The sequence below is a fragment of the Homo sapiens genome, chromosome 3, assembly GCF_000001405.40.
Source record: "Homo sapiens chromosome 3, GRCh38.p14 Primary Assembly".
NCBI classification, from domain to species: domain Eukaryota; kingdom Metazoa; phylum Chordata; class Mammalia; order Primates; family Hominidae; genus Homo; species Homo sapiens.
In genome coordinates, this window is record NC_000003.12 from 69,634,815 (window position 1) to 69,650,711 (window position 15,897).

The following is a 15,897-nucleotide window of genomic DNA, read 5'->3' on the forward strand; positions in this document are numbered from 1 at the left end:
AAGAATGCATATTCTGTTGATTTGGGGTGGAGAGTTCTGTAGATGTCTATTAGACCCACTTGGTGCAGAGCTGAGTTCAAGTCCTGGATATCCTTGTTAACCTTCTGTCTCATTGATCTGTCTAATATTGACAGTGGGGTGTTAAAGTCTCCCATTATTATTGTGTGGGAGTCTAAGTCTCTTTATAGGTCTCTGAGTACTTGCTTTATGAATTGGATGCTTATATATTTAGGATCGTTAGCTCTTCTTGCTGCATTGGTCCCTTTACCATTACGTAATGGCCTTCTTTGTGTCTTTAGATCTTTGTTGGTTTAAAGTCTGTTTTATCAGAGACTATGAGTGCAACCCCTGCTTTTTTTTACTTTCCATTTGCTTGGTAGATCTTCCTCCATCCCTTTATTTTGAGCCTGTGTGTGTCTCTGCACATGAGCTGGGTCTCCTGAATACAGCACACTGATGGATCTTGACTGTTTATTCAATTTGCCAGTCTTTGTCTTTTAACTGGGGCATTTAACCAATTTACATTTAAGGTTAATATTGTTATGTGTGAATTTGATCCTGTCATTATGATGTTAGCTGGTTATTTTGCCCGTTGATTGATGCAGTTTCTTCATAGCATCGATGGTCTTTACAATTTGGCGTGTTTTTGTAGTGGCTGGTACTGGTTGTTCCTTTCCATGTTTAGTGCTTCCTTCAGGAGCTCTTGTAAGGCAGGCCTGGTAGTGACAAAATCTCTCAGCATTTCCTTGTCTATAAAGGATTTTATTTCTCCTTCACTTATGAAGCTTAGTTTGGCTGAATATGAAATTCTGGGTTGAAAATTCTCTTCTTTAAGAATGTTGAATATAGGCCCCCACTCTCTTCTGGCTTGTAGGGTTTCTGCCAAGAGATCCGCTGTTAGTCTGATGGGCTTCCCTTTGTGGATAACCTGACCTTTCTCTCTGGCTGCCCTTAACATTTTTTCCTTCATTTCAACCTTGGTGAATCTGACAATTGTGTGTCTTGGGGTTGCACTTCTTGAGGTGTATCTTTGTGGTGTTCTCTGTGTTTCTTGAATTGGATGTTGGCCTGCCTTGCTAGATTGGGGAAGCTCTCCTGGATAATATCCTGAAGAGTGTTTTCCAACTAGGTTCCATTCTCCCCGTCACTTTCAGGTACACCAATCAAACATAGATTTGGTCTTTTCACATAGTCCCATATTTCTTGGAGGCTTTGTTCGTTTCTTTTTACTCTTTTTTCTCTAATCTTGTCTTCTCTCTTTATTTCATGAATTTGATTTTCAGTCACTGATATCTTTTCTTCCACTTGATTGAATTGGCTATTGAAGCTTGTGCATGCGTCACGAAGCTCTCATGCCGTGGTTTTCAGCTATGTCAGCTCATTTAAGTTCTTCTCTACACTGTTTATTCTAGTGAGCTATTCGTCTAACCTTTTTTCAAGGTTTTTAGCTTCCTTGAGATGGGTTACAACATGCTTCTTTAGCTCAGAGAAGTTTGTTATTACCGACCTTCTGAAGCCTACTTCTGTCAACTTGTCAAACTCATTCTCCATCCAGTCTTCTTCCCTTCCTGTCAAGGAGCTGCAATCCTTTGGAGGAGAAGAGGCACTCTGGTTTTTGGAATTTTCAGCTTTTCTGCTCTGGTTTCTCCCCATCTTTGTAGTTTTATCTACCTTTGGTCTTTGATGTTGGTGACCTACAGATGGGGTTTGGTGTGGATGTCCTTTTTGTTGATGTTGATGCTATTGCTTTCTGTTTGTTAGTTCTCCTTCTAACAGTTAGGACCCTCAGCTGCAGGTCTGTTGGAGTTTGCTGGGGGTCAGCTCCATACCCTGTTTGCCTGGGTATCACCAGCGGAGGCTGCAGAACAGAAAATATTGCTGCCTGATCCTTCCTCTGGAAGCTTCATCCAAGAGGGACACCCACCTGTATGAGGTGTCTGTCGGCCCCTACTGGGAGGTGTCTCACAGTCAGGCTATATGGGGGTCAGGGACCCATTTGAGGAGTCAGTCTGTCCATTCTCAGAGCTTGAACACGATGCTGGGAGAACCACTGCTCTCTTCAGAGCTGTCAGACAGGGATATTTAAGTATGCAGAAGTTTCTGCTGCCTTTTGTTCAGCTCTGCCCTGCCCACAGAGGTGGAGTCTACAGAGGCAGTAGGCCTTCCTGAGCTGCAGTGGGCTCCACCCAGTTCGAGCTTCTTGGCCACTTTCTTTACCTACTCAAGCCTCAGCAATGGCAGATGCCTCTCCCCCCACCAGGCTGCAGCCTCACAGGTCAATCTCAAACTGCTCTGCTAGCAGCGAGCAAGGCTCCGTAGGCATGGGACCTGCTGAGCCAAGCACAAGAGAGAATCTCCTGGTCTGCCAGTTGCTAAGACTGTGGGCAAAGCACAGTATTCGGGTGGGAGTGTACCATTTTTCCTGGTACAGTCTGTCATGGCTTCCCTTGGCTAGGAAAGGGAAATCCCCCGACCCCTTGCACTTCCCAGGTGAGGCGACACCCACCCTGCCTTGCTTCGGCTCATCCTCCGTTGGCTGCACCCAGTGTCCAACCAGTTCCAGTGAGATGAACCAGGTACCTCAGTTGGAAATGAGGAAATCACCCATCTTCTGTGTAGATCTTGCTGGGAGCTGCAGACTAGAGCTGTTCCTATTCAGCCATCTTGGAAGTGTGCATATGTGCCTTTTTCATAGAATGATTTATATTCCTTTATATTATAATCCTTGACCCAGTAATGAGATTGCTGGGTCAAACAACAGTTCTAAGTTTTTTGACAAATCTCCAAACTGCTTTCCACAGTGGCTGAACTGATTTACATTCACACTAGCAGTGTATAAATATTCCCTTTTATCCTCAACCTCACCAACACCTGTTATTTTTTAACTTTTTAGTGATTAGTCATTCTGACTGGTGTGAGGTGGTATCTCTGTGTGGTTTTGATTTGCTTTTCTCTAATGTTCAGTGATATTGAGCATTTTTCCATATGCTTGTTGGTTTTGTGTATGTCTTCTTTTGAGAAGTGTCCGTTCATGTCCTATGCCGATTTTATAATGAGGCTGTTTGCTTTTACTTGCTGATTTGTTTGAGTTGCTTATAGATTCTGAATATTAGACCTTTGTTGGATGCATAGTTTTTGAGTATTTTCTCCCATTCTGTAGTCTATCTGTTTACTCTATTGATAGTTTGTTTTGCTGTGCAGGAGCTCTTTAATTTAATTAGGTCTCACTTGTCTATTTTTGTTTTTCTTGCAGTTGCTTTTAGAGACTTCATCATGAAATCTTTGCCAAGGCCTAATATGTCCAGAATAGTATTTCCTAGGTTTTTCTCCTAGGGTTTAAATAGTTTTAGGTCTTACATTTAAGTATTTAATCCATTTTGAGTTGATTTTTGTATATGGTGAAAGGAAGGGTACAGTTTCAATCTTCTGCATATGGCTAGACAGTTATGCCAGCAGCATTTATTGAATAGGGAATCCTTTTCCCATTGCTTGTTATTGTCAGCTTTGTCAAAGATCAGATGGTTGTAGATGTGTGGCATTATTTCTGCATTCTCTATTCTGTTTCCTTGGTCTATGTGTCTGTTTCTGTACCAGTAACATGCTGTTTTGATTACTGTAACCCTATAGTTTGAAGTCAGGTAGTGTGATGCCTCTGGCTTTGTTCTTTTTGCTTAGGATTGCCTTGACTATTTTGTTCTCTTTGTTTCTTTCATATAAATTTAGAATAGCTTTTTCTAAATCTGTGAAAATTACATTGGTAGTTTAATGGAAATTGTATGGAATCTATAAATTGCTTTGGGCAATATGCCCATTTTAACAATATTAATTTCTCCTGTCCATGAGCATAGACTGTTTTTCCATTTGTTTGTGTCATCTCTGATTTCTTTCAGTGGTGTTTTATAATTTTCATTGTAGAGATCTTTCACCTCCCTGGTCAACTGTATTCCTAACTAATTTTTGTGTGTCTGTGGCTATTGTGAATTTGGCTCTCAGCTTGGAGTTATTGGTGTATGGAAATGTTCCTGAGTTTTGTATATTGATTTTGCATCCTGAAACTTTACTGAAGTTGTTTATCAGTTCTAGAAATTTTGGGACAGAGACTAAGGGGTTTTCTAGGTATAGAATCACATCATCTGCAAAGAGAGATAGTTTGACTTCCCCTCTTCCTATCTTGATGCCTTTAATTTCTTCCTCTTGACAAATTACTTTGGCTAGGGCTTCCTAGTATGTATTTTAAACAAAGACATTTGAAGCAATTAAATATTTTAGTGTTAATCTTTGCAACCATTACTTAATTTGAAAGAAACAACATTTCACTGTCTTTTCTTTAAAATAGCATGAGTTAGATGGTAACTGTATTAGCCAAAGTTCTCCAGAAAAACAACCAATAGGATGTGTATGTGGTGTGTGTGAGTGTGTGTGTGTGTGTGTGTGTGTGTAGAAAGAGATTATAAGAAATTGGCTCACACAGTTATGGATGCTGTAGTTGGCAATCTGGAGACCTAAGAGAGCTGATGGTATAGTTGTAGTCCAAGTCCAAGGGCCTGAGAAGCAGAAGAGCCAAATGTGTAAATTACAATCTGAGTCCAAGTTTGAAGGCAGGAGATCAATGTCTCAGCCTGAAGACAGTTAGGCAGAAAGAGGAGATTCTCCCTACTCTGCCTTTTGTTCTAATCAGGCCTTCAACAGATTGGATGAGGCTCACCCACATTGGGTTGGGCAATTTACTTTTCTCCGTCCACCAAGTCAAATGTTAATCTCATTCACAAACACCTTTATAAACACACACAGAATAATGTTTAACTAAATATCTGGGCACCCAATGGCACAATCAAGTTGACACATAAAATTAACCACCATGGTGACTATCGCTTATCGTGGGATAAATAATTCCATTGTATCCTGTTTACAACAAGACTTGAACATCAGACATAGTATATACTTGCAAATCAGGGCAACTAATACAACAGAAAGTTTTATTGATTTTTAGCATCTTTCTGGGAGTTACAAAACATCACTAGCATTAAAAGCCTGGATGGGGAAAGAAGTAAGAGTATTCTATTCAACACAGTTTTGGAAGTCCTGGCCAGAACAATCAGGCAAGAGAAAGAAATAGAAGGCATCCAGATAGGAAAAGAATAAGTCAAACTATCCCTGTTTGCAGATGACATGATTCTATACCTAGAAAACCCCATAGTCTCTGCCAAAAAAGCTCATTGAACTAATAAGCAACGTCAGCAAAGTTTCAGGATACAAAATAAACAGACAAAAATCAGTAGCATTCTTAACCCCCAATGACATTCAAGCCAAGAGCCAAATCAGGAATGAGATTCCAGTCACAATTGCCACAAAAAGAATAAAATACCTAGGGATACTGCTAACCAGAAAGTGAGAGATCTCTACAATGAAAATTACAGAGCACTGTTGAAAGAATTAAGATACTACAGAAGCAAATGGAAAAACATTCTATGCTCATGGATAAAGAGAATCAATATTGTTAAAATGGCCATACTGCACAAAGCAATTTATAGAGTCAATGCTATTCCTATCAAACTACCAATTACATTTTTCAAAAAAAATAGGAAAAGCTGTTAAAAAGTTCATATGGAACTGGCCCGGTGCGGTGGCTCATGCCTGTAATCCCAGCACTTTGGGAGGCTGAGGTGAGTGGATCATGAGGTCAGGAGATCAAGACCATCCTGGCCAACATGGTGAAACCCCATCTCTACTGAAAATACAAAAATTAGCTGGGTGTGGTTTCACGTGCCTGTTATCCCAGCTACTCAGGAGGCTGAGGTGGGAGAATCGCTTGAACCGGGGAGGTGGAGGTTGCAGTGAGCCGACATCGTGCCACTGCACTCCAGCCTGGCAACAGAGTGAGACTCCGTCTAAAAAAAAAAAAAAAATTCATATAGAACCAAAAAAGATCCCAAATAGTCAAGATATTCCTAAGCAAGAATAAAGCAGGAAGCATCATGTTACCCAACTTCAAATTATATTACAGGGCTACAATAACCAAAACAGAATGATACTGGTACAAACACAGACACATAGACCAATGGAGCAGAATAGAGAGCCCCAAAATAATGCCACACATCTACAACAAAGCTGACAATAACAAGCCAGGGTGAAAAGGACTCTCTATTCAATAAATAGTGCGGGCATAAACGTCTAGCAATATGCAGAAGATTGAAACGGGACCCCTTCCTTATACTATATACAAAACTCAACTCAAAATGGATTAAAGAATTAAATGGAGAACCTAAAACTATAAAAACCTCGGAAGATAACCTAGGAAATACTATTCTGGACATAGAAACTGGCAAAGATTTCATGACAAAGAGACCAAAAGCAATTGCAACAAAAGCAAAAATTGACAAATGGGATCTAATTAAACTAAAGAACTTTGACACAGCACAAGAAACTATCAACATAATAAACAGATAAACAGCCAGGCGCAGTGGCTCATGCCTGTAATCCCAGCAGTTTGGGAGGCTGAGGCAGGCAGATCACTTGAGGCCAGAAGTTTGAGACCAGCCTGGCTAATATGTTAAAACCCCGTCTCTACTAAAAATACCAAAAATTTAGCTCGGCATGGTGGCACACGCCTGTGGTCTCAGCTACTCAGGAGGCTGAGGAACGAGAATCACTTGAACCCAGGAGGCAGAGGTTGCAATTAGCCAAGATGGCGCCACTGCACTCCAGCCTGGGTGACAGAGAGAGAGTCTGCCTCAAAAAATAAAAAATAAATAAATAAATGAATAAATAAACATACAACCTACAGAATAGGAGAAAATATTTCCAAACTATGCATCTGACAAAGGTTTAATTCCAGGATCTATCAGCATCTATAAGGAACTTAAACAAATTTACAATAGAAAACAACCACATGAAAAAGTGGGCAAAGGACATGAATAAATACTTTTCAAAAGAAGACATACATGCAGCCAACAAACATATGAAAAAGCTCAATATCACTAATCATTAGAGAAGTGTAAATCAAAACCACACAGAGATACCATCTCACACCAGTTAGAATGGCTATTATCAAAAAGTCAAAAAATAACAAATGCTGCAAGGCTGCGGAGAAAAGGGAACATTTATACTCTGCTGGTGGGAGTGTAAACTAGCTCAACCATGCTGGAAAGCAGTGTGGCAATTCCTCAAAGACTTAAAAATAGAACTACCGTTTGACCCAGCAATCCCATTACCCAAAGAAATATAAATCGTTTTACCATAAAGACACGTGCACGCATGTGTTCATTGCAGCACTATTCACAATAGCAAAGACATGGAATCAACATAAAGGCCCATCAACAGTAGACTGGATAAAGAAATATAGTACATATACACCATGGAATACTATGCAGCCATAAAAAGAATGAGATCATTTCTTTTGCAGGAACATGGATGGAACTAGAGGCCATTATTCTTAGCAAACTAACGGAGGAACAGAAAAACCAAATATTGCATGTTCTCACTTATAAGTGGGAGCTAAATAATGAAAACCAATGGACATAGGGAGGGGAACAACAGACAGTGGGGCCTACTTGAGGTGGGAGGATGGGAGGAGGGAACAGATCAGGAAAAATAACTATCAGGTACCAGTCTTAGTAGATGGTGACAAAATCATCTGTACACCAAACCCCTGTGAAACGAAGTCTACCCATATAACAAACCTGCACATATATTCCTGAATCTAAAATAAAAGTTAAAGAAAAGAATTAGGAGTATGTGGCAGTGAAGGGTTAAGTCTTGGTTTTGCTAAGGTCATTGGTGACAGTAATAATTAATAATAATCATCATCATCATCTTAGCAGTTCCCATTGATTGAAGCTTATGCCAGGCATTATCCAAGTTATGTTTCTTACGTTACTTTGGGCAAGTATTTTTGAGCCTAATTTTTCTTCTCTGATAAAACCGAGCTATTAATAACTACCTAAGTGCCTCCTCCCCAGGCAAGGACCAAATGAGATAAGATAGGTGAGCGTGCTTTAAAAATTGTAAAGTGCTCTACAAATGCAGAGTGTCATCATTTTCCGTTGAAATATCAACCTGGGAGGAAGCGAGGGAAGGAGGAGGTTTTCATTCCTCTCTGTAAGCCTACTGCAGCACCCTGTGATCTCAGAAGTGCTGGAAACCTGTATTTGGAAGACAAAATGCATTTCTCTGGTGAAATGGGAAGGGACAGGTTTCTTATTGCTTCCAACCCTTCCAGAATTTGAATTTTCTTCCCTTTCTGTGGTCATCAGTTGTAATTTTATAGAAGCTATTGTGCTTATCCTGAGGGAGTGATAAGGAAGGAATAATACCTACCACAGGGGGCTGGGCCAGAAGTGAAAATGTATAAACAATAAACAAGTTATATTTGTATCTCAAATAAAGCATTATTTATTTTTTTCAACTTTAAAATATACTGGTTTGTGATATGATACCAAACCACGGAATGCAGCTCCTAGGAAGACACAAAATTGGGAGATAAAAATTTTTCTGCTCTTCAGCTTTTGGATCATTTCAAATACTATTGATATTCTACTCATGCCTAGACACCAAAGGGTGAATGTAATTAAAATGCAATGAGATTGTGCGTGTCAAATAAAAAATGTTCTTCACCCATGTGTCCCTGGTACTTACGCGCTATGTGTCACCCTAGAGAGGGGAATCATTGAAAATATTGCACTTTATACAGTGAGACTGAGTTAATAAAGCAAGAAAGACTTTCAAGTAATAGTGGATTCACTCTAAAATTTAAGGCATTTAAAGATCATAGGATGTGGTGCTCCTTCCCTGTTTATTATAGGGGAATAACACTTGTCTGTATACTGGGAAGACCTGGATTTTGGGGGAGCTCCATGGAAAATTTCTTTCTCTCCCAGATGTCATAGGAAATAGCATAACTATCTATTTTTTTTTCTAGAAACAAAGATTATGTTGTAATATATAAGTAATCTCACAGTGTCAGCCTGGAATGATGTTTTTAAAGTTTTAAATGTCATCGGTCAGTGGGTAGTTTCTTTCTAGATTGCAATGGGATCTGTGAACTCTACTATCCTGGGATCCCAGTTTGAGTCTCTGAAGGTGCTAGAAACAGTATTTCAAAGTCAGGCAACTGAGTTAATCCAAACTTTAAACTGTTATTCCCTGAGGAGATATGAACTGGGATAAGAAAGGGACTAAAAGAGTGAGTCCCATCCTCAAGGTTCTGGGAGCTGTGCTCTCTGACCCTGTTGACCTAGGAAAGTTGTATCAAACGTCTCACCATCTCACCACTTCGTTAACTCCCACTGTTCACCACAAACCAGGAAGAACGGGAAGCTCCCCTACATTGTCTTTGGCAAAATCAATTATGTAGATATTAAGAAACTAGTTATGAATTAAAAATGTAAAAAGTGGGCTTGGGCACAGTAGCTTATGCCTTTAATCATTGTACTTTGGAAGGCCTGGGAGGATGAAATTCTGTCTCTACAAAGAATGCAAAAGTTAGCTGGGCATGGTGGTGTGAACCTGCGGAGGCTGAGGTGGGAGGATCTCCTGAGTATGGAGGTCGAGGCTGCTGTGAGCCAAGACTGCACTCCAGCCTGGGTGACAGAATGAGACCCTCTTTCAAAATAATAATAATAATAATAATAATAATAATAATAAAATAATAATAAAGTATAAAGTGTATATCTTTTGATTTACTGTTTGCACTTCTAAGAGTTTACCCTAAGGATTAAATCAGGAATACACAAAGGATTATGTCAAAGTGGGTGATGAAATTTTGTATAATCCTAAAGAAAAAAAGAAAAAGAGCATAATATCCATCAAGAGGGAATTGATTAAATAAATTGTGGTTATGCACAGATTAAATGCAATGACATAGAATAATTTATATTTTAATTCATTATCATTTATTAATATCAATATTAGTAAATACATATTGTTGACTGAAAAACACATTACAGAACCATGGAATCCCATACAAGAGAAGTGTGTGCTTGGGTGTGTATAACTGTACTACAGAAAGGTTAATCACCAAAATGTTTGTTAAGGTTCCTCTCTGGGTTACAGATATGTGATTTTTATTTTCTTCTTTATGTGTAACTGTTTTACTAGACATTCCATAAAGAGCATGTGGCATTTTGATAATCAAAAGCTCATTTTATTCAGAAAAAAATGATTCTCTCTTCAAAACCCACCTAATCTCTTAATTATTTGCTAAAATGAAGCAAGAATTCTTTCACTTAGTAAAGGATTTACTGCTTTGTGAAGAAGAGGAGTCTATGAAACTCGACAGTGTGTATGGCATTAGAAATTACATGATTTGGCATTATATGAAAAAGATACCTGCTTACGTATGTTTATCACAGCACAATTCACAATCGCAAAGATATGGAGCCAACCTAAGTGCCCATGAACTGATGAGTGGATAAAGAAAATGTGGTGTATATGCACCATGGATACTACTCAGCCATCAAAAACAACGAAATAATGTCTTTTGCAGCAACTTGGATGGAGCTGGAGGCCATTATCCTAAGTGAAGTAACTCAGGAATGGAAAACCAAATACCGCATGTTCTCACTTATAAGTGGGAGCTATGCTATGGGTATGCAAAGGCATACAGAGGGGTATAATGGACATTGGAGACTCAGAATGGGGAAGAGTGGAAGGGGGGTGAGGGATAAAAAGCTGTTGGATACAGTGTACAATGCTGTGTTGGGTGCATTTAAATCTCTGATGACACCACTATACAATTCATCTGTGTAACCAAAAACCACTTGTACCTCCAAAGCTACTGAAATAAAAAAATTATTCAAAGAAAATGACAAGACTTGGGAGTGAAGACTCAAGCATAAGCTGCAACTTTATTATTACCATGTCAAAGTCATGTCCATTTTCGCATCTACAAAAGGAAAGTCATAATCATCACCTTACTCAGGCCCTGAGAAGTTACTAATACTCGGCATTTTATAGCATTTAAATTGTCAGTGCATTGTATTTTCACTATGTCCTACAAGGCTCACTGGTGGACAGTAGCATCTGCTCTCCTTTAAACCATTTTTAAATTTATTTTATTTTAATTTTTTTAAAGCCAAGTCTTGCTTTTTCACCCAGGCTGGAGTACTGGGGCATGATCACAGCTCACTGCAGCCTCAAATACCTGAGCTCAAGCAATCCTTCTGCCTCAGCCTCCCAAGTAGCTAGGACTACAGGTGCTTACCATCATGCTTGGCTAAATTTTTTTTTTTTTTATAGAGGCATGGTTTCACTATGCTGCCCAGGCCGGTCTTGAACTCCTGGCTCAGCCTCCCAGAAGGCTTGGGATTATAGGTACAAGCCATCACAACCAGCCCCAATCTCATAAGTTAGAAGACTATTCTTGATATGATAAAATATTCACAGCATGTATTGTAATTGAAATTGGCAGGCTACGAGGCAATGTATAACTATAATAAAAATTATAATAGGAACGATACATAAGAGTATCTATTAGGTATCCCCTATGACAGGAACTGTGCTGAGCATGGGGTATGTATTTTCTTATTCACTCCCCAAAGCAATCTTAGGGCGTAGGGACTTTTTTAATCCCCATTTTATAGCTGAGCATGTCATTTTACAGCGAATCATAAATACTTGTCCAGGATCCAGCTGAGATTGGAATCCAGGTGTGTTTGAACCCAAGGTACAGACTTTTAACCGCCCTGGGGTGTGAGAGTGTGTGTGTAGATAAAGGCCTGCTCAAGGAAGAAGGAGGAGGAAAGAGCTGAGGAGGAAGATGTTGATGTATTTTTAATTGTGCATCAGTCTTCCTGGTGGTGACAGGTCTCTTAGTGTCATGACCAGCTCTGCCATTTGCAACGGTAGGAATTACAGTCTTTCAAAATCCGTTTCTGGTCATTGCTGAACCCAAATTTACATAAAAACAGGCCCTTGAAGTCAACCTCTTAAGTTTTAGAAAAAGATATTCCTCCCTGAAATTGGAGTGACATCTCCAGTGAACTATCCTGGCAGCAGAGTTGTCCCCTGCAGCTGACCAGTGGAGGTCAGCCAGCCCCCGCCAGGCAGCGGATGAACCTCAGCCACCTGTCGGCCACAGCAGCTGGAGGACCTCCGGAAGCGATGGCTCCTGAAGGTGACCTCTGTGTGACACACAAGCGTGGTGAAATGGAAACGTCCATGTTGATCTAGTGCCATCTGAGACCCCAGTATTAACTGTGCACAGTTTCCCAGTCATCGTATCAGCGTCTCACCCTCTGTGAAAGTCTGTAACAGCAGTTATCAATGGATTTCAGCTACTATCTCCAAGACATGTGACAAATGTTGCTCAGATACAATGCACTTTCCAAGAGATTTACCCAAATTTTGACCCAAAATATTTTGAGGGGAAGTAGAGGTCTACAATAATTTGTGAATCTCCATAATAACTATTAACCATACAGTAGTACCAAGTTCTCAGTACATTCTGAGCCACAAGAGACAGGTGGTGGGTTATGAGTAATTTAAGTTTTTAAAGCATTTCCCAATTCTGGTTGTGCTAGCTACTCAAGATGAATATCAGGATGCAGCACAGTTATATTACAGTGGGGACAACCTTGAAACCCTTCTAATTTAAATTTTTAAAGTACATTTATTTGCCAGTTCTACTGTTGGAAACGTTACAGTGGTGTCCCTATCATCCGTGCGTTTAAGTTATGCAAACTCAAAATACATTGCTATAGTGAAAATACTGAAAAATTTCATGGTAATATATATCCTTTTAGAGATATTTACCTATATATTTATATGTATATATTTATACTTGCAATTGTGTACAGATTGCATGTATAAATAATACTGCATATTTATGCTGTGTGTGTACTGTACTTAATGGGTAATTTGAGGAATTTCCAAGGGTAATTTTGGCTATAACTACTTTTTGCTTTAAGCAACATCTGCTCTCCCCACTCCTGCCCCTCCCATTGTCACCACCACCACTTCAAATTGAAATTCCATTGTGTTTATGATATCTTACTTTTGATACTTCTCATCAGTGGCTGTAAGATCCACAAAGTGCTATCAGCTCGTGGTTAACTCTAAATATTATTCATGACGAGTTCAAGGTAGCTGCTGCTTTTTCTTGGTTCAAATTTGTGAAGCTTGCGTCATCATCTGTTAATATTGCATGCCCATCCCCACTGGGTACCAGACACTGCATTACTCTAAAAATATACTTCCTTTTCCACCAGGCTTTTTGAGTAGTCTGAAAACTGGTTTAACTGCATGCTTTTATTTTTGGTGTTGGTGGCAATGGAAAATGGGGTATGATAATAGTTTCACTGACATCAAGAAAGCTTGGGTTTGTTTTTCCTGCACAGAATAGAATTATCTCTGTAAAACATACATCTGACTTTGTTTCTCTTCCATGCTTAAAATCCTTCAGCAGCTCCCCCTTAAGCACATGATAAAGTCCAAACTTCACGTCCACATGACTTACAAAACTTTGCTTTTTCTCCCAGCATGCCTCTCCCTTATATACTCAGTGTGTTCACCACAACAAACCCTTGTATTGCTCATACCAGGGTTTTTCACAACTCCAAGCTTTTGTCCCTGCTGTCTCCGTTGTCAGAAATGTTGTCATGGTCTCCACTCCCTTAGTGGGTTTATACACCTTGAACACCATGCTCAAATATCACTTCCTTTGTACTGCCTTCTGTGACTTCCTGAGCCAGACCTGGCCATGCCTTTTCTTATATATATTTGGTATATTTTTATGCTTCTATTGAGGCAGTTATCAACCTTTAATGAAATGATAAATTTAAACGTCCATCTCCTCTATTAGGCAGTGAACACAACAAAAGCAGAGGTAATGCTTTATTTACCTTTGCAATCCCAGTACCTAGCATGGGGATTGGAACCCAGTGGTTCCGTATATGCTGAATGAGTGAAGAAATGAATGGCAGACAGAGATACAATCTTCGAAATTAATTCATTGAGGTGTTTTTGACCCCAGATCCAGATATAAACTGCAGAAGTTCAATGAATTTCCTCTAAAATGAATGCTAAATTGTGATTGAATCTCTGTGTGTATACTTGTGCATACATTTATCTGGGAAGCTAATCCATAGCCTTCATCATATTCCCAAAGGAATGTAGGATGTATTAAAGGGGATACAAATCACTGACATAATTCAATCTCCTCAAAAAATTAAGATCTCCCTTTCTCCCGCTGCATGACAAAAACAACCAACCAACCAACCAAACAAACAAACAAACAAACAAACTAAACCAAGGGGAATGGGGGCTTTTGAAAGGAATGAGTAGGCAGGAATGTCCCTGAAAGATGAGGTCTGCATGATAGTCTTGTTTTAGTCCTGAAGGGGACGGCGGAGCCCAAAATATCAGTGCTCAGAAAGATTTGGACCTAACTGGCATGCAATGCAAGCCCGGAGCTTAGTTCATTCACTCCTTTGTCCATTGTGGAATTATCTAATGACAAGAGGGATGTGGGTGGTAACAAGTGAGGTGCCTTCTTCTCCCTTCCTGTTGAGTCATTCTCCAAATAATGTTCAGAGTATGAGGGGAAGTAACATTAGCTTGAGGATTTTTTGTTATTTGAAATCTGTAACTAAATAACAGCACTACTCATTGTGGCTTTTCCTTTCTTTCTGGTTTCATAAATTTCCCTTACATTTTCAACTGGGTGAGTTATTTGCCATTTGCTTTCCTAACCTGGTGTTTGTGCAGCATCACTGGCAAAAGTTAATATGTGCTTCTTGCTGCCCCAGGGATTCTTGCAGCTCTGTAATGATGAAATTAATCTATAAATGTGGTCTCTAAAAGCACCTCTGGGTCTCAATCTTTGAATGAAAGGCAGAGTGGAATGGAAGGGATCTGTTGCTTTCATTATCATTATCTAAATGGATGCAAATGCAGCAGATTGAAAATGCTCATCCTTACCAGAAATGATAAGAATCCAAAGACCTGCTATTTGCATGTTTAATTGCAATGGCGCATTGAGAGACAGAATTACTGTGTGGGGGTTATGGGCACTTCACAAACGGTAATTGTCCTCCACACTTATTTTTGTCATCTTGATGAGTGTTAGAAGATGGCTAGGCTTTCTAAACACTTGCACGCTTCCAACTAGGGAGGATATTTTGGCACATTAGGAAAACATGGCATGAATTCAAGTGAGCTGAGTTACATTAGCCCGTCTTTTCTGGTTAGTTCTGGTTAAATGGTAACTTTCCATAAAGTGCCTTCCTTTTCCTGGCAGTAACATTTACTGAGCACAAAGTTGCATTTCAGGTACAGAACCAAGCTCTTTACACACTTCTCTCATTTGACTCCAATATCTGAGGTAGATTCTATTACTATTTTCATTTTACAAATAGGAAATCCGACACAGAGAGAAATCTAGTAACTTAGCCAAGTTTACATAGGAAATGACTAAGTCAAGATATAAATGCTTATTTGTCTGATTCCCAAGCCAAAGTTGTTGGTATGTGAAATAACTTTTTTTCTATCATCAAAGCTCTCATTTATCAACCATTTTTTCATCCATTCATACATCAGATATTTATTGAGCAACTACTATAGGCTAGCTATTATGTGCAGTAAAAAAATGGAAGCAAAACATTGCCCCTGCCTTCAAGTCCATGCTTGAAATAACCAAAAATGAAATTCTGTTGTTTCTTTATACAAGCATCAACAGAGCATCATTTTTGCCACCTTCCTCCTCATCAACATCATCATCATCAGAATTACTTTTTACTGAGCCTGAGAAAGTTGTCAGAACCAAAATGGAGTCGCTTGTGTTTAAAAAAACAAAAAACAAAAAGCCATGACAAATAGAGGCAGGGAAGGCTGTAAAGAGAGGGTCCTCAAACTTCTGTGCCTGATAAGAAAAACTATCATAAAAGACTCTGCAAAAACTGC